Below are 23,486 nucleotides of genomic sequence, written 5' to 3'. Positions count from 1 at the left end.
CGAAAGGGGAAGTGAGAGGACTCACTCTTCTCTAGCTGTTGCCTGAAATTTCTTTAGGAAAGGTAAGAGCCTATCTGACTCACACATAAAAGACTGGTTGAGAGTGATGAAAGTGTCTGGGTCCACAAGTCATCAGTAGCGAATGAGCCAGTGGGGAGAGCTTAAGAGGGACTCCCACAGGGTGCCTCTGGGTGTGTGTGTTTGGGGTGGGAGTGGTTGTGGCTGAGGAAGGGTGGTGCTGAGTAGAGAAAAAGATTCAAATGCTGTGAACATAGAAAACAAACCTGCAAGACATCCCCATGTGACCTTGGTCTTAGAGCTGGCCCTATTCATCTTGTACATAGAAACTGTACAGAAGGGTTTTGTCCCATTGATGAAGCTGCTGTGCTTTGTGTAATTGATAAAGGCTTATGTGGTTCATCCTTTCTACTGTCTGTGGAGAAAGCTTTGTTATTAGGAGATTTGTAGGGGGAGACATCACTCACTCCATGGGGCTGCTGATGGAGGACAGAAAGATCTCAGTCAATCCCCAGCACATTCCTAGGCAACAACAACTCATTTAAAATCATTTAAATCCTCAGTTTAACTGCATAAAGCACACATCAGTGGAATCACCTGATCAAAGTTTTATTTACTGGATGAGCAGCTTTCTTGCCACCTGCTCCTTGGGATACCACTGGTGGAGGCTCTTAAGTGCTAATGGATACAGAGAACGGCCGCATGTGCCTGAGAGTGAGCCCCAGGGGAGAAGGTCGTGAACTGAGCAGATTAATGAGAGAGAAGCAAACTTGTTTCTTGAACTGTATGCTTCACTAACACTGATCATCTTAAGAATGAGGACAATGTAAATTTTTTTCTACTCTGAGTGTGTCCAGGCCACCTCTCTTTTTTTTTCTTGCATACCTCATGGGTGCTTATGGGGATGAATTAACCATCATTATTTCATTTAATTCTTAAAACTCTGAGATGTAGGCATTACTACTCCTATTTTCAGATGGGAAGCTAACATTCTGTATGGTTAGACAACTTGTCCAAGCTCAAACAGCTAGTGGCAAACTGGGGTGCAGTTATAAGTCTGTTTGAATCCAAAATTCATGCACTTTCCAGTACATTTTATAAGCATAACCTCCACACTAGGGAAACCAAGTCACAGACCAAGAATGAGGAAGACCAGAAAGCAGCAGAAGGTAGAGACTGACTTCACAACTAAGTGCAACTTGATGAGAGAGAACGACTTAGATAACAAATTAAGAAACATGGATTCTTGCCCTAATCTACACGTATGAGATTCTTGACCTTTTAGGAGAGTAACTTTCCTCTTCTTTGAATTCCCCTAGGTATCTTCCAGGCAGTAGGTGCTGGGGTACCCAACAGTTACAGCAACATGAACCAGTTGTATGTCCTCCAGCAAATCAGCCACTGCCAGCCTCAGACTTTCATCTGTGCTAGAAACAAGTTCTGGATCCAAATGATTTCTGGATCCTTGTGTTTCTTCCAGGTCTAACCTCCTTCTAGGATCTGTCAGCTTCTTGGATGACACTGGGAGGAGAGGCTGGGCTGGAAATTAAGAAGGCAGATTCGGTTTCTATCTGCCAGTGTTCAGGTCCTGACTCCTACCAGCTCTGGTTTACAGCTAGGTCTTTCAGGACAAAACATTAGGGTAATTTTTTGTTTGTTTGTTTTGTTTTTGTTTCTCATTTGTACTGTTAATGGTTCCCCAGCTCACTCCACCCATATAAACGGAAATTTCTGTTAAATAAAATATAAACTTCAATCTCAAGAGGTTTATACATATCTCCTTTGCTATGGCTAGACTCCCCTTAACCCCAAGGCTATTTTTATTTTTACGGGGGCTGGAATCCTCCAGGGACTTAGCTCTAAAAGACGCCTAGTTCATCTGAAGGTCCTCTCTGCACTGATCTCACCATGCCCTAAGAGTGAGAAATCCCTTTTGCTTATTGTACCCTCTGGTTTCCCAGGCTGTAGAGCTTCCTAATGGTTTCCAGACCTACGGCACTATGGGGGCTTCTCGTTTTTGTATTTTTCTAAAATCAATTTTACTGACGGGAGATGGGGAACATTTATAAAAAATGACGTCATCTTGGGCCAGCTACGACTATGTGAAGAACAGCCAGGTAAAGCTTATCAGTTCCTCGCTGTGCCCCAGCCCCCACACCAGCATCCTTTCATTTCCTGCCCAATATTCCCGAGCCACAGGCAGCCATTGTTTCCAGAACCGCTTTGCTTGGAAGCCTTGGTACTGAGGCCTCCCAGCGCTTCCTGTTGTTACCAGGCCTCTCTTTCCTGCTGAAAACAACGGCACTTCCCTGCAGTTTGTAACCCTTTTCAGGCAATTCATTTCTTCCATGAGCTTGTTCAGTGTTTGCAAATGCAGAGTGCTCATTACATTTATTTTAGTTAACAGTTTTCTTATTCTACAAGTAGTGCAAGTTAAAAATAAAGATGAGCAAAAGAAAAAAAATCACCAAATCTCATCCCCTTCTATTAGCACTGAAATCTCTTTGGTGTTCATGCTTTAAGATTATCCATCTATGTAAAGAAAATTTACCACAAGACTCAGGGCTTGAATAGATGACCATTCTCAATAGTGGAAATGGAAGCAGGGAAGCCTGCCCAGAAAGCATTCTCCTGGAGGTTCTCATATATTTCTGAGCAAAAGGGCCTCCCAGGAGCTTAAGAAGAGTGCAGACTCCAGGAGATTCCCCTGCAAATTCTCAGGACTACACTTGGAGATCTTCTTTAAATAGTTTGTTAAATTTGGGAGCGGCTCATGGGGCAATTGAAGAGGTCAGGGAGGAGGGACAGCCCATTGTTATCAGGACTCCAGGAATCTCTTCAATCCAGCTGCCTGCCAGCTGCTCCAATGAGCTTTTGAAAACACAGATCTAATTGTTTGTCTATAGCAAGGAATGCTAAGTTCTTCGTGACCCCTCCCCCAACATCACCCTCTCTAATCAGGTAAACTCCTCACAGTTCTCTTCAGAACACCCCTTCTGCCTTTGCATTCTCCGTCCAGGATGTAAATTGTCCCCAGGAGATGCTTCTCTCCTGCGTTCTTCAGAACCCAGCCCAGAGAAGTCCTCCCTAGGGCTTTTACTGTAACCTCAAATAGAATAACTCACCAAAAATGGGACACCAAGCTCTGCTGCAGTGTCTAGGTTTCTGGACACTATTTTATGGTGCAAATCAAGATATCTGAATTTCTATGAGCTTCTGTTTTGCTCCAGGGAACATACTTGAGGGATAAGATGTAAAGTATTTTAGAGACTCACATTGGCCTCTTCCTCAATTTTCTCTCCATATCTCTGACAGATCCCAACAAAAAGATATGCTTTCTGCAGAGAGACTACACTTTTACCTTTATAGATAATATATTATTCCTTATATAAAATCAGGCAAAAAATAGTAGCAATTTGTGGTTTGTTAAAACAGCAAGGGGTGATGATATTCAAGCTTTTATCCTGAAGTTTTGCAGCTCAAAAATTACTTAGTATTCTCTGAAATGCCTCCTATGGGGAACCAGCATTCATTTCAGAGGCCAGATATTGCAATTATCCAAACCTGCTTACTCCTCTTCTCACTCACAGTTGTTATACCTCTGCTCTCAGCACTGTCTTTAGAAGTAATTTTCACCAGATATACAGTCAGACACCCATATTTGTGGGTTCTGCATCCTTGGATTCAGCCAACTGAGGATTGAAAATATTCAGAAAAAAAAGGATGGCTGTGTGTGTACTGAACACGTACAGGCTTTTTCTCTTGTCATTATTCCCTAAACAATACAGTGTAACAACTATTTACATAGCATTTATGTTGTATTAGATATAAGTAATCTAGAGATGATTTAAAGTATACGAGAGGATGTGCATAGATTACATGCAAATACTACACCGTTTTATATCAAGATCTTGACAATCCATAGATTTTGGTATCCATGGGGGTCCTGGAACCAATTCCCCTTGAGTACCAGGAGACAACTCTTTTTAGGATTAAGGCTCAATGTGAAGATGATACGAAGGATTACTGTCAAATATGTGGGCACCTCCTTATAGGAGGAGGCAGTCATAAATAATATATACAGCAGTGGTCCCAGACCTTTTTGGCACCGGGGACCGGTTTCGTGGAAGACAATTTTTCCATGGACCAGGGTCAGGGGGATGGTTTTGCGATGATTGAAGCACATTACCTTTATTGTGTACTTTATTTCTATTATTATTACATTGTAATATGTAATGTAAATATATGTATATGTTATTACATGTAATATATGCAGTGACAGATCATCAGGCATTAGATTCTCACAAGGAGCCTGCAACCTAGATCCATTGCCTGTGCAGTTCATGATTGTGTTCAGGCTCCTACAAAAATCTAATGCCACTGATCTGACAGGAGGTGGAGCTCAGCTTTGCTGGCTCGCCCGCCAGTCACCTCCTGCTGTGTAGCCCAGTTCCTAACAGGTCACGGACAGGTGTTGGTTTGTAACCTAGGGCTTGGGCACCCCTGATATAAAAGACACAGACAACTAGCAAAGAGAATGCTAGTTTATCATACAGACACTCTTATTCCTAGAATTAGAGAATCTGAATATCAAACAGATCTCTTTTGCTTTTAATTTCTAACTTTTTCTCTCCTCACCCTTTAAGAGCTTCAGAATTAGAATTTTCAGTTGTTTGCTACTGAAAATGTCAGTGGTCAGATCTGATTCAAGAGTAGCCCAGGGATAGTGAGCTTTCACAAGGTAAGGCTCATATTCTAATCCCTTTTCTTGGGTACACAGAAGGTGTCAGAGATATATCCAGGGCACTCTGGGTACCCAAGGACAACAGCCTGTCCTGGGAGCAACAGCCAGGAAGAGGGTTCAAATGGAGACTGAATCTCTACTTGAGCTTGTACCCAAGGAGGCCACCGTAAAGCTTCCATGAAGACACTGGTGTTTTAAAAGCTCTGTCAGGATCATGTAGAGACAGAAAGACCCTCTGGGAAGTGATCCAGGCATGGGGTGACCCATCTCCTGGTCACCTCCTCTGGGAAGCCTTCCCTGATTTCCAAGAGTAGGGAATACCTGATACAGTCTTAAATCAATGGGTTCGCTATTAATACTTAATTGAGTTGTTTTGTTTTAAAACATCTGCCTTTCCTCTATTCTGTAAACTGTATGCAGAGCTATGTCTGTCTTACTCAACTTACAAGACACTGCCCTTGGCCACAGTTTATAGTCCGGTAATTTCCTTGTCCCTTAAGCAGTGCCAGGAAGAAGGCAGAGCACATACATAGAGGAATGAGTGGAAGAAAAGGCTGGGCCCAGGTGCATGGGCATCAGCTGGACACCATGTAGGATGTGACAGATGACACCATCTTAGTGAGCGCACAGTGAGCCTTTGAAGGGATGACAAAGTGTACCCTAGTCTGTAGTGCTTTTTGTCTCTTCCCAGATCTATATTTATTTTCTCCTTCCCAGCAACACCATCCCGGCCCCCAAGTATTCACTCCATACTCTATCCCTGCTCTCCACTTTTTTGTCAACCAGAATTCTGGAATGTCAGAGTTGGAAGAGACCGTCAGATCATTGTATTGAACCTGCCTGATTCAGCACCAGGAAATTAAGAACCCACGAAGTTTAGGGACCTATCCAAGGTCACCCAGCTTGACAGCAGCAAAGCCCTAGAGTTGGAAAGAGACTGAGACAAGGGGACCAGAGTGATTTGAAAAGTGATTAAGATTTCCTTTTTTCTCTGATTTTCAGGATTAGGGCTTAAGTACCTGGGCTTCTTTCTGCCCCAGACTAACTAGCACTTTGGTGTCAGAAGTAATTTAGAATATTTAAGCTTAGACACACCCTTAGCAGTCAGCTCAAATTAATTATGTTTATTGGATTCCCACAAGTCAAACATTGTGCTAGACTTTTGGGATTCAAAGAAGTAGCTTATACTTATAAGACACTGCCCATAACCTCAGTTTACAGTCTAGTTAGTTCAATTACATGCAGTTAAATCATGGGTGGAACAAAAATGCCAGAGAGAACCCTTCCTTGTTCATTCTACAGCTGTCAGGCAGGAGTCACTGGGTTTAATGATATCTTTCTGGAGAGAGGGGACAGCCAGCTGCCAGAGGCTGTCTCTCCCCTTCTATAAATTTGCTTTCTCTTCTTAAATAGCGAGTAGCTGATCCTCAGCAAGAAGGAGGGGTTTGTTTATTGTTCTAAAGATCTCATGATTCCTGTTTAAAGAGGGTGTAGGCTTGCAGTAGATTGTTGCAGGCTTAAATTCACTGAAGAGATGGAAGTAGCAGGCTTTGTGGGTGCAGTCAGAGCTGCTGGGAGTGGGTAGCCTCAGGCTAGGGCCCCTGGTGGGAACACAGAGGAAAGCAGTCCTGAGCTGGTTAAGGAGATGGAAGTTGAGGAGACTTCCCTGGGGGTCAGCTCATCCAGAAGACAGTACCACTGGTGCTACAGGACCCAATAGAGGGCAGTCAACTGGTCAGGATGCAGGAGATGTGACGGATTCTAAATCTATAGGATCTGCACTGGAGAGGACAGGCAGTGAGCATCTGAGTGTCCATGTAAAAGAGTTCAAGTCAGGGCTAACAGAGCCCGTCATGACTTAGTTTCTAGAATAGGTGTCACCTTTTTATGTCCCAGAGATTTGGTTTGCAGTCATGTACAGAGCTCATTGAATGGCCCTCTCTCACTGATCCTGCCTCAAGCACCTGGGAAGAGGGACAGAGCCAGGAAGAGAAAGGGGTCCCTGTCCAGGTCCGCTCCATTATTCAAGCTCTGCTCATATTCTACCCTCTCCATAAAGGCTTCCCAGCTTCCTTTGCTCATCAAGTGCTTTTTGGCACCCACGCTATGCTTGGGTACTGGGTGCTGGGTGCTAGGTTCCAAGGACACAGTGGGAAGCAAAACAGGAGGCCCCATCCCCAGGAGCTTAGCATCCAATGGGAGGAAGTGCCTGTTGATCAGTCTCCTCTCTTACTGTTCCTGATTAAGGGCATGAGTTCTGGAGCCATTCTGCCTCGGTTCAAAGCCTCCCACTGCCACTTTCTACCACTGAGACCAGGCATGCCTCCTGTAAGTAGAATGCCATAACCCCAGTGTGCTGGGGCAGCTCCAGAGGACACCTGCTGCTCTGTGTAGTTACGGATTGTGCTCGCTTTCACTTAAATACACATCTCTAAAAAAATTTTTTTTAAATCCCACCGGGCCGGGCGTGGTGGCACACGCCTATAATCCTAGCACTTTGGGAGGCCGAGGTGGGTGGATCACGAGGTCAGGAGATCGAGACCATCCTGGCTAACATGGTGAATCCCCATCTCTACTAAAAAATACAAAAAAATTAGCCGGGCATGGTGGCAGGCACCTGTAGTCCCAGTTACTCAGGAGGCTGAAGCAAGAGAATGGCGTGAACCCGGGAGGCAGAGCTTGTAGTGAGCCGAGATTGTGCCACTGCACTCCAGCCTGGGCGACAGAGCAAAGACTCTGCCTCAAAAAAAAAGAAAAAAGAAAAAAAAAATCCCACCAGCAAAAAAAAATCCCACCAGCAGTGAAATTTCTCTTAGAAATAAAAATAAACAAAACACATCTCAATTCGGGTAAAAAAACTATGGTTGGTTACCTAACCTACCAGGTTCAGTTTCTTTATTTGAAAACTGAAGCTAATAATACAATCTACCTCATAGGGTGGTAAAAATTAGCCAGGGTGGTTGTACATGCTTGTGGTCTCAGCTACTTGGGAGGCTGAGGTGGGAGGATCACCTGAGATGGGGGGAGGTTGAGGCTGCCGTGAGCCATGATCACGCCACTGTACTCCAGCCTGGGCAACAGAACAAAACAAACAAACAAATAAAACAAACCAAAACATAGATAAAATAATCTATGAAGTGCTTGGAACAGTGGCCCAATAAGCTCTCAATAAATATTAACAATTGCTATTGTTATTTTAATTGTGATTACTGTCCCATTGGGCTTTGGTCCTCCATTAGTGAGTGGGTCCTTAAGTGAGGGGCTGTTGTACACCTCTGTATTCCTAGCACCCAGCACCATGCCCTGCACAGTGGGGACTTTGACTCAATGTCTCCTCAAAGAGACTGGGATACAGGCTTCAGCCATATGAGGGTGTACTTGCAGAATGGGTGGACTCTTCAGAGATACTGTGTCCTATCTGGTTTCAGACGGAAACACGGGGAAAATGGTGGATGTTCTCCTCCTTCCCTTTCTGATTAGAGTTGACAGATAAAATACAGAACATCCAGTTAAATTTGAATTTCGGATAAATAATGAATAATTTCTTGTATCAGTATGCCCCCAGTATTGCATGGGACATAGATTAAAACATGATTTGTTGTTTATCTGAAATTCAAATTTTAGTCCAGCGTCTAATATTTTTATCTGCTGAATGTGGCAACTCTGTCTCTGAGTTCCTTTCCCACTCTTTGCGCCCCCGGCCAGCAGCAGTGCTCCCTCTCAGTATCACACTCACACAGCCACAACCACAAATCTTTCTCTGACTCCTATTTGCCCTCCAGGGCCAACCTTAGGCCTACTCGTGGGACACCTCTTGTGATTTAGCTTCTTCCACCAGGAGGAGGAACTGAGAAAAGATGGGCAGCAGCAGATGTCAGTGTGTCAGGGAGCCAAACTTCCCATTGGGTTAAAAGGCTTCTAGATGTACAGGAGTGTCCCTGAGCTCCTCGTCCTACAGAGATAAGGGGGAGCTGTTTTCTCACCTGGCCTCAGGGAGAAAAGGGAGAGCAAGGAAGAAGCCAGCCTTGAAATCCTCATCAGGTTTTCCCTTCCCATAGGTGTCTTTGTCTTCTAAGATTGCCTCTGCATGAACCTCCTGGTGGCTCTGCTCCTTGACTACCAGCCACATTTTTGATGGTATGAATATGTGGATGGGCTGGGGCAGGGGGATGTACCTTTGGAGCACTCTTCTGGAAAAGCGAAGAGGAAGATGCCAGGATATCTCTGAGTTTAGGAAGTATGAATTGTTAGAGTACCACCTCCCCTGGCTCCTCCCTTTTCCTCAAACATTTACTGTGGGCCAGGCACTGGGCTAAGCATGTCACATATATTACTTCATCCAATCCAACCTTGCAAGGCAAGTTTAACAGTCCTCATTTTACAGTTGAGAAATTAGGGGCTGAGGGAAGTTTACTCCCTTGCTGAACATCATTCAGTTTGTAAAGTGGTGGGGCAGGTATTTAAGCCCAGTCTCTCTGACTCCCAACCCCACTCTTAACCAGCTTTCTATACTGCTCTTTTTTCAGAGTTCCCCCTGGCACCTACTAGGAGCTCAATAAATACTCCCTGGATGAATGCATGATTGAATGTACAAATGAATGTGTCATTCTAAGGTCTACATTTATTTCTGTAGACTCACCTGTCAATGATAATCAGGAGAATGATTTGTTCTGACATGTTTATATATTTTTGATTTTGAAAAATTCATCAAATTATAATTTGTGATCAAATAGTTCATGGATGCTAATTTCATTGTAACATTGTGTGTATTTGTCCTTTTTTATTTTTTTTTTTTGAGACAGAGTTTCACTCTTGTTGCCCATGCTGGAGTGCAATGGTATAATCTCGGCTCACTGCAACCTCCACATCCTGGGTTCAAGCGATTCTCCTGCCTCAGCCTCCCGAGTAGTGGGGATTACAGGCATGAACCACCAAGCCCCGCTAATTTCGTATTTTTAGTAGAGATGGGGTTTCTCCATGTTGGTCAGGCTGGTCTCGAACTCCCAACCTCAGGTGATCCGCCCACCTTGGCCTCCCCAAGCGCTGGGAATACAGGCATGAGCCACTGCACCCGGCCTGTATTTGTCTTTAAATGAAAATGTTTTGGTTCTAGGCCCTGAGTTCCACAGGCCTTGAGGCTCTTACTTATTTTTTTGGCATTTATTACAGTTTTTGGTGGTACATATTCCCTGTGTAATTCAGGATCCAGCCAGTTTTGGGGGCAGTCATCCTTGTGGGATTCTCAAATCACAGCCTCTGGTTGGTCCCAGCCTTTTTAAGAACCTTACTGAAACATGCTCTGACTTTCAGTTATATGTGAAGCAAGAGTAACCAATGGTCTCTGCATAGCCCTGAGTATTCCATTGAGAAATTTATTTTTTCTTTTGATCTTGATGTACATTTGGTATTAATTTTTTTCTTGGTGTATTTCCATTTACACATGAATGACCTCAGTCTGTTTTTAGCAAAGCATTGCTAGAGCTGGATGAGGATGCAGGGCTCATTAACAAAAAATCATCGGGGGGCCTAGGTTATAACTGCTCTTTCAAAGCTCACACAACCATAACACACATTCTGTTACACAAACACACACACAGTCACAGGACAGCAGGTTGTGAAACAGAGAGGGACTCTACTTTGAGGAATATGGCCATGAATATGAACAAGTAAAACAACCATGATCTTAATAAAAAAGTGGTGGGGACCAGGTTAGGTACAAGCTGTGACCTGTGGTCTGCTATGATTTTGATCAACATTTTAGGAGTGCCCAGAACTTCTAAGTCTCATGTCAGAAAGTGAGAGGCGTGCTCACTTGGGCAGCGCATATACTAAAATTGGAACCATACAGAGAAGATTAGCATGGCTCCTGCGCAAGGATGACATGAAATTTCACGAAGCGTTCCATATTAAAAAAAAAAAAAAGTGAGAGGATGTCTGGCAGACCCCTGAGAGGTAGCAGGAATGTCTTACACACAGATTTTTGGTTGTTACATAGTATCAGTGATGCATTTTTTACTGCCAGTTACTACGACCATTCTAAGTGTGCAACAAGAGTATATATAGTAGCCCTGTGAAGTCCAACTACTCATGTTTATAGATATATATTTAAGAAGATAGGAGTCATACTGTTATCAGAGCAGATGGAACTCCCTTGGCTTCCCTAGAACCATATTTCAAGGGTTCATAACGCTAATTTTGGGGAGATTTTCTTCTTACAAGCTATGTGACCTTGAGCAAATTTCTTAACCTCTTGGTGCCTTAGCTTCCCCATCTGTTAAATTAGGAGAATAATAGTAATTCCCTCACAGAGTTGCTGAGCAGATTAAATGAGTTAACCTGTGGAAAGCACTTAGAACAGTGCCTGACATAAAAAGTGTTACATACTAGTTTGCTGTTATTATTATCATCAGCAACAGCAACGCCAGCTTAAGACAACCATGAATGTCATGTCCTCACTGAAGCTTTTCCAGGCTTCCTCAGTTGGATGCACCCTCTCCTCCCCACCCCTTTAGGACCATCTGTCTAACTCTACCTAGACTAAACTATGTGCCCTACCTCCCTGACTATCTGCTGTCCTTGACTCCAAATATCCTCCTGGCTAAGAGAATATATGGGGACTCCTGACTCCCAACTCCTCTATAGCATCAAGACTCATTCATTTTTTTCATTCAGCAAATATTTATGAGTACCTTCTCTGTACAGGCTCCGCTGGGTGAGAAAAAAAATCCCATGATGTTTCCCATGCACACACTGAAGGAAAGCTCATGCAGGCATTTGCTCAGCTCCTCTGGCCAGCTGAATGACCACGGGAAGAAATCGGGTATAGTTAAAGTGATCTTGTGTTTTGAAAAAAACAAGATATGTGTTCGGAAAAACATTAACATACTTAAGAGAAGAGCAAGGCAGAATAATAGATTTGGGATTTTTTTCAGATATTCTCAGCCACATGGTCAACAAAATTAAATCACTCCGGAAAGAGACTCACTTAAATCTTTCCTGGAGACTGCAGCCTTGGCTTGTGTATGGAAACGGCACCCACGGCCACACTGCGCACTAGGCTGGGTACCTCATATCCATGGTGTTTGATCTAATTCTTACAAGACCTTGTAAGGGAAGAACTGTCATTCTCCTTTTAAGAGGAGGAAACTGAATCTCAAAGAAATACGTGTCTTGTCACATCACACAGCTGGCAAGTGGCCCAGGCTCTGCCCCACATAAGGTCAAAGGGTGCTAATTTTCAAAGACACTTGAGCTACTCCTATATCTAATTGGTCACTAAATCCTGCTGGACTTAGATGTGGCATTTGGGAGAGCTACCTCTGGAGACGTTTGTGGATCTTCAAATTTAGGAATACCATTAGAACACTTGATGACAAAACGAGAAGGGAACAAGTCACTTTAAGAGACAGCCATTGGCATCAGCTAAGCTCTTTTACTGGATAAATTATTAATTTCTAGACACTAGACCCTTCATGTGTGCCATAAATGTGTGGCCCAGCCAAATTAGAAATGACCAAATGACATGTGTCTCATTGTGGTTTTAATTTGCATTTCCCTAGTGGCTGATGATGATGAACATCTTTTTGTGTGCTTACCATTTGTCTATCTTCTTTGATAAAATGTCTGCTTATGTCTTGCACATTTTCTAATTAGATTATTTGTTTTTTACTGCTGAGGTTTGAAAGTTTTTAAATATATTCCATATACTAGTGCTTTGTTGGATGTGCAGTTTGCACCTATTTTCTTCCTCTCGATATCTGATTGTTTCACTTCTTAACAAGGTCTTTTGCAGAGTGCATTTTTAACATTGATGAGGTCCAGTTGATCAATTTTTCCCTTTGTGGGTCATGCTTTTGGTGTCAAGTCTAAGAACTCTTTGCTTGGGCCCAGATTCCAAGGATTTTCCTTAATTTTTTTTTCTAACAGTTTTATAGTCTTGCATTTTATATTTAAGTCTGTGATCTCTTTTGAGCTAACTTTTATATAAGGTGTAAAGTGTACATTAAGGTTCATTTTTTTTGGCCTAGGAATGTCTAGTTGTTCCAGCACTATTTTTTGGAAATGCTCTTTTTCGTTCATTGCATTGCTTCTCCAACTCTGTCAAAAGTTGGTTGGTTGTACTTGTGTGGGGTCGGAGATGCGGCGGGTCGGAGGGAGTTAATGGATTCTCTATTCTGTTACTTTGATCTATGTGTTCTTCTGCTAATAGGACACCACCTTTGTACTGTAGCTATATACTAGGCCTCAATACTGGGTAGAGTGATTCTTCCCACTTTATCTTTCTTTTTCAAGACTGTTCTAGCTATTTTAGGGCCTTTTTAGAATAAGCTTTTAATCTATATCTACAAAAAAAACCTTGCTGGGATTTTGATAAGAATTGCATTAAACTTATAGTCAGCTTAGGGAAAAATAGACATCTTTGCTATGTTGTTTATAAGATCTCTTTGATTTGTTCCTTCTCCATAACTGCTACCCTCAAGGAGAATGTCATTAGCTAATGCCTGAAACTATTGACCAACCTTATAATTCGCCTTTCATTGTGGTCTTCTGTTGTTCCCACTCATGCTGTGTGTTGCTGCCAAAATGGTGAAACTCCAGCTCTCCCCTACCAAAGCTGCTGTCTTGTTTGGGAATCTCAAATTGCTTCCTACTCCAGACCTAGGCCCAGGTTTACCCTCTTATTCAAACTCCCCAAATTTCCACTTCTCATTCAGTCTTGATATACCCAAGTAATTCATGACTCTGAACTGCTAACCTAAACATGTAACTTAGCCAGGAATTCCTTCCACTCTGCCAATCTGTTTCCATTTTCTTCTGTCAATTTAAGCTTACTCAATGCAAGAAATATTCCCTAAATAACTTGGTCATCTTGTACAAGTTCATACACAGTGGCAGGCCTAGCATATCTGACATCTGGAACAGGTGATTTTTAATGCTACTCTCCTCTACAGAATGGATTTATGTTCAGTAATAAGTGTATAATGCAATAACAGCAATCATTGGTATTTTCTGATTTTGCTTTTTAGTTTTAAAATAAAACTAAAACTCTTTCCAAGCTTAACTTGAATAAAATTCTATTTTTTAGCTTTGAATTCTGAGCTTCAATGAGAAAAAAGAATTCTACTTTAAAGATATTAAAATTCAGTAAAATATGTCACGTATGAACTAAAATTTGTACTTATGAAACAAAAATATTATACCTTGAAGTCTGCACCCTATGTCACTGTTTTAAGTTTAAAACACAAATAAAAACCTCAAGTGGTCATATAATGACTTAAGTTCGATTCTTTCTGTATTTACTGTGCTATTTTTGTTTATTTCACATCTACCAATTAAATGCAGGAATATGTAGTACCACAGGAGCTAGAAACACACACTGCACCTGAAACAAGGTCAAACTACTTAAATGAGTATGAGCTAATTGTTAAATGAACACTTAGTTGAGTCCATGTGTTACGTGGACATGGGTTGGGACTCAACTAGGAGTAACATCCATGTAACACCCTTGTGTTACCTGGTCATGGATGTCACTATGAGTAGGAGTTCTCCAAGTAACATCCATGTTGATACAATATTTATTAAAGGACAAGGAATGAAAATGTACCAATCCATGTTTATTAAAGGATAAATAATAAAAGTGTACTAATATACTAAATATATTCGCATACATATTATTAAAACTCACCGTCCCTCAAAATGTCAATACAGTGTCACAGTGTTACCCTATGATCCTGCAATTCCAGCCCTAGGCATATATAGACCTTAAATGAATAAAAACATATATCTGCATACAAACTTGTACCCAAATGTTCATAGCACTGAGAGGTGAAGCCGGCTGGGCTTCTGGGTCAGGGAGGGACTTGGAGAACTTTTCTGTCTAGCTAAAGGATTGTAAATGCACCAATCAGCACTCTGTGTCTAGCTAAAGGTTTGTAAACACACCAATCAGTGCTCTGTGTCTAGCTAATCCGGTAGGGCACTTGGAGAAATTTTCTGTCTAGCTAAAGGACTGTAAATGCACCAGTCAGTGCTCTGTGTCTAGCTAAAGGTTTGTAAACGCACCAATCATCACTCAGTAAAAACGGACCAATCAGCACTCTGTAAAACGGACCAATCTGCACTCTGTAAAACGGACCAATCAGCTCTCTGTAAAATGGACCAATCAGCAGGATGTGGGTGGGGCCAAATAAGGGAATAAAAGCAGGCCACTGGCACCCACAGTGGCAAATCATTTGGGTCCCGTCAGTATTGTGGAAGCTTTGTTCTTTTGCTTTTTGCAGTAAATGTTGGTGCTGGTCACTCTTTGGGTCTGTGCTGCCTTTATGAGCTGTAACACTCACCACAAAGGTCTGCAGCTTCACTCCTGAAGTCAGCGAGAGCATGAAGCCACCGGGAGGAAAGAACAACTCTGGACGCGCCAACTTTATGAACTGTAACACTCAACGCAAAGGTCTGCAGCTTCACTCCTGACGTCTGTAAGACCATGAACCCACCAGAAGGAAGCAAGTCTGGAGATGTCCGAACATCAGAAGGAACAAACTCCAGATAAACCGTCTCTAAGAACTGTAACACTCACTGCCAGGGTCCGCGGCTTCATTCTTGAAGTGAGCAAGACCAAGAGCTCACCAATTCTGGACACAGCACCATTATTCACAACAGCCAAAAAGTGGAAACAATTCAAATGTCCATCAACTGATGAATGGATAAACTGTGGTATATCCATAGAATAGAATATTATTAGGTAATAAAAAGGACTTAAGTACTAACATAAGCTTTAATGTGGATATCCCTTGAAAATATTGTAAATGTAAGAAGCCAGAAACAAAAAGCCAGATGATTCCGTTCATATGAAGTGTCCAGCATAGACAAATCTGTAAAGATAGAAACTAGATTCATGGTTTCTTAGGGCCGGGAGAGTAGGTGGGAAGGTGGGGCAATGGGAAATGGCTATTAATGGGTATAAGGTTTCTTTTGAGGGTGATGCAAATGTTGTAAGATTGATTGTGGTCATTGTTGTATAGCATATGATTATACTAAAACTATTGACTTGTATACTTTAAATAGGTGGCTGTGTGGTATGTTAATTATATCTCAATAAAATTAAAAATAAAACCAGCAGTAAATGCAGCAATTGTTTAGAACTTAGACCAACAAAATATTTTGTGGGGAGGAATATTTTATCACTGTCAATATTAGAATTATCAGTGCTTGGTGATTAAAACCCACTCTTGGTTTTATTGTCATTTTTAACTTTTCTGCTGACGACACATCCCCTTATTTTGGGTATGCAAGGTGTCCCTCTCCCGCTGCTGCATGATGGTACATCCCTGCTGACGTGGTCAGTGTAGATCTACACTATGGCCCATCTAGCGACTGGCTGATGTAAATTGCTTATATGTAGAGAAAAGTCTAATTTGGGACTTACAAGAAATTTTAAGAATTTAAAAAATAAAGTGATACCCATTTTAGGAAGTCAAGAGCCATTTCATATGAAATAAAACCTTTTATAGTTAAATGAATCTTCTGTAGACTTCTTAACTCAGAACCAGTATTTCTGTTTTGTTTTTTTGAGACCAAGTTTCACTCTTGTCACCCAAGCTGGAGTGCAGTGGCGTGAACTTGGCTCACTGCTACCTCCGCCTCCCAGGTTCAAGCGATTCTCCTGCCTCATCCTCCAGAGTAGCTGGGATTGTAGGCACCTGCCACCAAGCCTGGCTATTTTTTTTGTATTTTTAGTAGAGAGGGGATTTCACCATGATGTCTAGGCTGGTCTCGACCTCCTGACCTCAAGTGATCCGCACACCTTGGCCTCCCAAAATGCTGGGATTACAGGCTTGAGCTACCGCTCCTGGCCAGAATCCGTTTTTAAACTCAACCCAGAATCTAGATTTCCTGTGCACTCGGGCAGCTGTTGATGCCCATTTGCAGATTGGCTGTCTTCATGAACCATGAACAATCCCTAGGTACAAATGTCTGTTGCTCTTTCCAACCCCAAAACCAGAACAACTCCTGACAGCTGTGGAGACACTGCCCCCAAGGCTATCTTACCTTGCAGCCACAGACCAATGCCCCTCCTCCTCAGAGTGCAGACCCCCACTGCTGTGTGGCTGCCACATACTCCTCTTCGCCTAACTGGGCCCCAAATCCCTGTGGAAGCCTGTGTTCTCCTCCCCAATACCATTCTCTTCCTATGTTTCTCACAGCGCCACTGGTTTCACCAAGGAGAACGCATTTCCACAGACATCCCCTGGCCTGCCCTGGCCTAGGGGCTCCTCAAAGTGTCTCCACTTTGAGGACCGGGGTTAGGGTTCTCCAAAACTTGGCTTGCGTCCTGGCAATGTCATAAATGGTGGTCAGTTCCTACAATGTGATAAGTGCTATTTTTAAAAAGACTTTATGTACATTATCTCCTGTGATTCTTGCACTTTTTAGAAGCTAGACATTATCTCAATTTTGATAAGACTGAGGCTCAGAGAGATTAAATAATTTGTCTCAAGTCACATAGCCAGTATGTGAAAGAACTACGATAGAAATCTATGGCTTCTGCTTCCCATGCCAGTTCAGTATTACATAGAGGAGTAGGCCACAGTGAAATTATAGTCTGCATAGACTTTTGTTGGCTGGGCTTAGAGCCTAACCACCATTTTAGATCTTTTTTTTTTCCCATGGGAAAATGAATTTCAAATTCTGAGCAATCAACATACAAGTGTTCTTCTACAGCATAACTCATTTTTAATTTGGAGACTATCTCCATTGTCTTCCTACTGAAGGGTTTCATTTCTATTGATTCCTTTATCTTACTGGTCAGGACCCAAAAGGAGGATTGAAAAGTAAAGGCTTTAGAGTCAGACTAGGGCCTACCACTTAATTGATGTGACCTCAAGCAAATTACTTAACTTCTCTGGGCCTCAGTTTCTTCCTTTGTAAAATAAGGGCAACATTACACATATAGGATTATTGTAAGAATTAAATGAATAATGCACGCTTGTAAAGTGCTTAGTGCAGTGCTTGGTGCAGAGTCAGCCTCCAATAAACGTGGACTTCGTTGTTCAATGGGAGAGTCAGGTTGACTACAACCTGGAACATATCCCTGCTGGCCAGGGATGGTCCTTGTTTATTCCTATCATGCAGATGAAATTATTAACAGCACTCCCTTCTACTCTTAAGGTGCCCCAACTTGGATGATAAGTTATATGGGTCACCCTACCTGAAGATGGGCCCAGAAGGCATGACTTCGAGGGGACCACAAAGCCCCAAGGCTGAAGCTCCCTAATCACAGGGAAATTTGGCCTTTGTCAAGAGCATCTCACCAGGGAGCTGAGAGCTACTATTTGGATGTTTCCAGAAGCAGCAGCTGGGTTCTCAGTGAGGGTCTGAAGCCAGGAAGAGAGGCTTCAGGGATAAGGGAGCCCAGCCAAAGGCACCAGCAGTCACGCAAGTGTCTGGTCCGACAGGAGCCCTGCCAAGGAGCCAGGCCAAAAGGACAGGGTGGGGGCTGGAGTGGGGGCCAAGACGGCAAGCCAAACAGGAGATGAGGGGGAGCCGGGAGATGAAGTATCAGGGACACCACTAAGGGAAGTCAGCAAGGTGCTGGAAGGGCAAGAGGTCTCACTGTGCCTGGGGGAAGGGGGTCCCTGGGCATCAGTCCCCCTCCAGGAGCCTATATTCCACTCTTCTTTGTCTTTAAAGGAGTTGAGGCACTGTCTAGGGCACATCTGGGTCATATCCTTCTCCAAGATGCTGTGCACATGTGCCAGGGTTGATAAGTGACTCTGAGACTGTTGGTGATAACAAAGACCAAACATAAAGCAGGCAATGTCATTTAAACCTCCCACCACATTTAATGAGCAGGATTGGCAGCTTATTTCAATTTTACTTCAGTACTTAACTTCTCACAAAGTAGCAGTCATAAAACACTTCTCATAATGAGGTGTAATAATTGAAAGCCCGAAGAACCAAGAGGCAGCATGGTGAAAAGAAAGGAATAAAACGGTGAGAGTCGGAACTAGGTTCTATCCTGCTTCTGTTCTGCCTCTTCCTGACTCTGAATTTTTAGGTAAGTCACTTCACCTCCCTGAGCTCACCTGTCAATGGAGGTAATAAGTGTTGGGAAGGAAAAGTGTGGGGAGGCACGGATTACAAAGGCTGCAGAGTGCTACACAAATCTAAGCTAGACATCTCTCTAATATGATAATAAAGTAGGACTTTCTAAAATAAACATTTATCACATGTATTAAGAAAAAAGCTCAGAAAAGACGAAATACTTTTAAAAAGAATATAGCTGGAGTAAACGTAATGAACAAATTCTAGTACTACAGCAAAATCAGAACAACTTCAGATACTAAAGAAATGCTCCTTTACACAGTGAGTAATATGCTAGTGGGAGCTGCTAACCTTGGCTCCTTCCAGAAATGTACAACAGTTAGAAAACATAAATATCTTCTCAAAAAGTTAGGATACATACACAGATAATAGGTTCATAGTGGAAAATTAATATTAATGAAAATTCAGAGTCCCTTTTTGAAGAAAGAGCAATATTTCTTTCCAACAAACATGCCTGGTTCAACCCAGAATGCTGGGTTGGGCTGTTTGGGTCCAGTATTTCCAACATATGGAACAAATAGCACCTTTGATGAGGGCAGCAAAATGCGATAGATGACGCATGGGCTCTGGGATCTGATGAGCCTGGGCTCTTATCCAAGTTGGCCCTTAGTCTTCTATATGACTTTAGGCAAGTTATTTAGCCTCGCTGAGCCTTGATGCTCTCAACTGGAAAATGAAGATAGCAGTATCTACCTAATAGGTTGAATTAAATAACATCTGCTATACTTCAAGTAGAGTGCTTGGCACAGAGGAGGGACTAGTAAATGGAAGTTCTCATTATCACTGTGAAAGTACCTTGACCTCTGCTTAGCACTGTCAGGAAGTCAGGGACAAAGACCATGACAATTGCCTGCTACTTGTCAACATGAGTGAGCAGCAGGGCAAAGCTGCCAAAAAAAGGCTCACTCAGCCAGGCTGCATGAGTAATGAGTACCAATACAGGTCTGAAAGTCGTGCGTGCATGCGTGTGTGTGTGTGTGTGTGTGTGTGTGTGTGTGTGTGTGTGAGAGAGAGAGAGAGAGAGAGAGAGAGAGAGAAAGAGAGAGAGAGAAAGAGATCCCTGTGCACTCTGCTCCAGAGAGACTACATCTGGAGGATTGGCTACAGCTTGTAGAAGCACATCTTAAAATACAGGGAATCCGGCCGGTGCGGTGGCTCTTGCCTATGTAATCCCAGCATTTTGGGAGGCCGAGGTGGGTGGATCACCTGAGGTCAGGAGTTCAAGACCAGCCTGGCCAACATGATGAAACCTCATCTCTACTAAAAATACAAAAATTAGCCAGGCATGGTGTCGGGCGCCTGTAATCCCAGCCACTTGGGAGGCTGAGAGAGGAGAATAATTTGAACCTGGGAGACAGAGGTTGCAGTGAGCCGAGATCATGCCATTGTACTCCAGCCTGGGTGACAAGAGCAAAACTCTGTCTCAAAAAAAACAAAAAACAAGGAATCCAGAGGAAGATAAAGGGAATCCAGAGGACCTAAACACTAGCTCATTTGGAGAATGGTTGAAGGAGCTGGCAGATTTAACCTGGAAAAGAGAAATCTAAAGGCGAAGTAATAACTTTTAAAATAATTAAAGGGCTTCAAGCAGAAGTAGATGGAAACATATTCTTTCTGACTTAGAAAGCAAAACAGGACCCAAAGACAGAAATGACAGAGGTGCTGTTCAGCTCAGTAGTAGAAAGGACTCTCAGTCCCGTGGAGCTCTTCACCTAAGGGAATGGGCCGTGTAGTGAGGCGGTGCAGGCAGCCAGGCCCTGCAGAAGCTGAGCAGAAGCTGGATGACTCCTGGGTCCAGGATTCCTGTACTGGGTTGGGCTGGGATTAGCTGCCCTATGAGGTTTCTTCTGAGTCAAACTTTAAGACAGCCCTGATTTTCATAATCCTGCTAAAATTGTTTTGTCCTTGTTAAATCATATTTTATCAATCTCAAGTCCCTCAAAATGGCTGAAGAGGTGATTATGCCTGAATACATTAAAAGCCAGAGGAAATAGTGAATTTAGGGCTCTTGGAGCTGTTTTCTTTTTGTCATTAGATTCAGAATGTTTTTGATGATTTTCATTCTAGTCAAGGACTCATGAATATTCATGAGCGTTTGCAGGTACTATATATACACCTTCTTCCCTCACTCCTTTTCAAAATCCAACATGGAGTCAGAGTTTTATTTTTTACTGTTTTGTCTAAAATTTAAAGTATTTTTAAATTTAAAGTCTAAAAGTAATTAATACGGCTTCACTTAACCTATTCCATTTTTATTCTTTTCTCTCAAATTGTTCAGAACATATACTCTACATACACACAGAAGAAAAGTAATTAAAGGGCCGATTTTGATCGTCTTTTTTTCCCAAATACAACCATGTAAACTACATTAGTTATCTCATCTCTATCATGGAGTGCTACAGAAATGTGACTCGGGGCTGAAACAATGTTTTATTATTTAGCATGGGGACCCTGGGGCAGATTTGTGGACCTTATGGTCTTAGCCAAGCACCCCTGGAACTCATTTGACCAAGGGCAGGCCATCAGAAGTGGACATTTGAACCATGTCAGCAGTTTCAGAGAAGCACCCAATGACATTTTAATCTGAAAGATTATAAACAACCTCACTCCCACCACTAGCCATGCCACCTCCTGAAGAATGTGCAGCGTGGTGGATCTGAAGGAGCCATTGATAAGGAGGAAAGTAGCTTGAAAGCAACCTGGTGAAGCAAGAGTTTGACAGCCGAGATTATTTTTAATGCTTTCAAAGGCACACACTTTATAAATATATCGCACATATACAAAACAGGTCTGTTCCTATGCGTAATATGTGTATGTAACAGTCTACTTAAAAGCATTTCAAAGCCCATTTAGTTATAGTTTCTCCTAAGTGGTGTGGGTAAATGATAAAGAGATAAAGGAGGACAAGGGCCCTCCCCACAGAACCATAGAAGGCTCTAGCTGACAGTCACTTGGAGACAATCTCCATTTGCTTCACTGTTTAGATGAGGAAGCTGGGATTCCAAGGGGAGGTGACTTGCTTAAGGCTCACCAGAAAATTAGCTCTAACATAATAATAAATCCAGGTTTATGGTTCCAAAACTAGAGTTTACTAATTGATGGTGGAAAGAAACCATCTACACTGTAAACAACCACAAAACAACCCTAAAAACAAACAAAGCCACTGAGAGCCAGGAGTCATGGTTCTTATCCCAGCGAAGGAATGCACACCCTGCCTGATTTCCTGGCCACTGCAACACAGACCATCGGGTCATGGGATTATCATGCTGTTGGTATGGAATACAAGATGGCTGGTTTTTCCTATGATGCCCGCACACTGAGCTGATGGCATCACCCTGCTTTGTAATGGTAGATCCAGCCATGCCATCCTCTGCAGCTTGGGCAGCTCTGGGTTCTCTAGGATAGCTGAATTGATTCACTAAAGATATGAAGAGGCACATGGGAAAATACACAAATCCCACCCTCTACATTCTCCCAACTGCAGCTCCTGCCTTTGAGCTTCATTTGCTGTTTTCCTGAAGGCTCTCTCCACAACACTAATTGGGGTGATTAGATCAGTTCAAACAATCAGACGATTGAATGGAAATATCTACCACACTAGTTGGTTTTATGAAGCAACTGGCAAATGGAGTCACCGATGATAGTGGAAACTCACCCCGCATAGACACAGACTCATTCTCTTCTCCACTTTGACTTCTTCAGCGTCTTTGTTTGTTTACCCAGACAGGGTCTTCATTTACCAGGTTTCTCAGCACCAGTGAGGACTCACACAATGAGGCTTGGATAACACTTTGGTGGGGACAGTGCGGACAGACTCCTCTCAATACGCTCATGGTTCAGTCACAGAACAGTCTGTCCTTTCACTGGGCACTGTGGAATGAGCGTGAGCTCTGTGAGCGGGCAGGAAGGGCATCTTCTGTTTGAGAGCCAAGTCCTGTTTCGAAGTTCCCCACTGTAACCTTGGATACAGCTGGCTGGGGGTGGGAAGGCCCTGTGAGAGGCCTTTGTTTATAACTGGAGACTCCGTGGAAGGAGGTTATGGATAGCTGGATTTGGGGCCTTGCAAAGGAGGAGGGGAGAAAACTAGAAAGAGAAACTTCTTTTTTCAGAACTTCTGCAGGCTCACAAAGAAAGGATCCCAGCCAGGTATAGATCCATTGCAACAAGCATTCTATATTTTCTAGGTATTTTCAATACCTCCTGAATGTTTCATTTTTAGCTGCTCCCACTCACAAAGGCTCCAAAGATTTCACAGAGGACTTCCAGGAGCCTGTGGTGTTTTTGTGGCATGTGCGTGTAGTTCTGGTCATGAAATGGCATGTTGGGCAATTCTAGGTAACTTGATGCAGGCTATATTGATATGTGGCTCAAGAGACTAAACCGTGAAGAAAGATAAACTTGGTGGCCATTGGCCACCATGATCTAGAAGGCAGCAAAGTGGCAGGCACCCCTAAACTCTCTAGTTCTGGATAGCCTTTGGGGACTGTGCACACTGGACTCATTTATATTCTCAGACAGACTGGCTTGCCATACGACTTTTAGGTCCCTTCCAAGGTACACGAGATGGCTATATGATCATGTCATGAGGTTCCAACATAGGTGATTTAATTGTCTAATAGTT

General features: G+C 42.8%; 1 protein-coding gene and 1 pseudogene across 2 annotated transcripts in view, besides 4 other annotated features; one reads left to right on the top strand and one right to left on the bottom strand.

Annotated features, from left to right (window-relative positions):
- The window catches only part of ARHGAP31 (Rho GTPase activating protein 31), a 126,332-nt gene that overhangs the window by 68,208 nt on the left and 34,638 nt on the right, over window positions 1-23,486 (bottom strand). The window lies entirely within an intron of this gene.
- Window positions 242-939: an enhancer, noted in NCBI's record as "H3K27ac-H3K4me1 hESC enhancer chr3:119070415-119071112 (GRCh37/hg19 assembly coordinates)". NCBI's record gives its function as "activates a minimal SCP1, AML or CMV promoter by ChIP-STARR-seq in naive H9 embryonic stem cells {active_cell/tissue: H9 hESC(naive)}" and the evidence as "EXISTENCE:reporter gene assay evidence [ECO:0000049][PMID:30033119]".
- Window positions 395-444: an enhancer, noted in NCBI's record as "active region_20300". NCBI's record gives its function as "activates an Ori minimal core promoter by ATAC-STARR-seq in GM12878 lymphoblastoid cells {active_cell/tissue: GM12878}" and the evidence as "EXISTENCE:reporter gene assay evidence [ECO:0000049][PMID:35858748]".
- Window positions 2,461-3,285: an enhancer, noted in NCBI's record as "OCT4-NANOG-H3K27ac hESC enhancer chr3:119068069-119068893 (GRCh37/hg19 assembly coordinates)". NCBI's record gives its function as "activates a minimal SCP1, AML or CMV promoter by ChIP-STARR-seq in naive H9 embryonic stem cells {active_cell/tissue: H9 hESC(naive)}" and the evidence as "EXISTENCE:reporter gene assay evidence [ECO:0000049][PMID:30033119]".
- Window positions 8,469-8,518: an enhancer, noted in NCBI's record as "active region_20299". NCBI's record gives its function as "activates an Ori minimal core promoter by ATAC-STARR-seq in GM12878 lymphoblastoid cells {active_cell/tissue: GM12878}" and the evidence as "EXISTENCE:reporter gene assay evidence [ECO:0000049][PMID:35858748]".
- Window positions 10,567-10,673, top strand: RNU6-1127P (RNA, U6 small nuclear 1127, pseudogene; annotated as a pseudogene).

This window comes from Homo sapiens, chromosome 3, assembly GCF_000001405.40.
Source record: "Homo sapiens chromosome 3, GRCh38.p14 Primary Assembly".
Taxonomy (NCBI): Eukaryota; Metazoa; Chordata; class Mammalia; order Primates; family Hominidae; genus Homo; species Homo sapiens.
The sequence above is the reverse complement of the archived record's forward strand: the minus strand, read 5'-3'. Positions and strand labels throughout refer to the sequence as shown.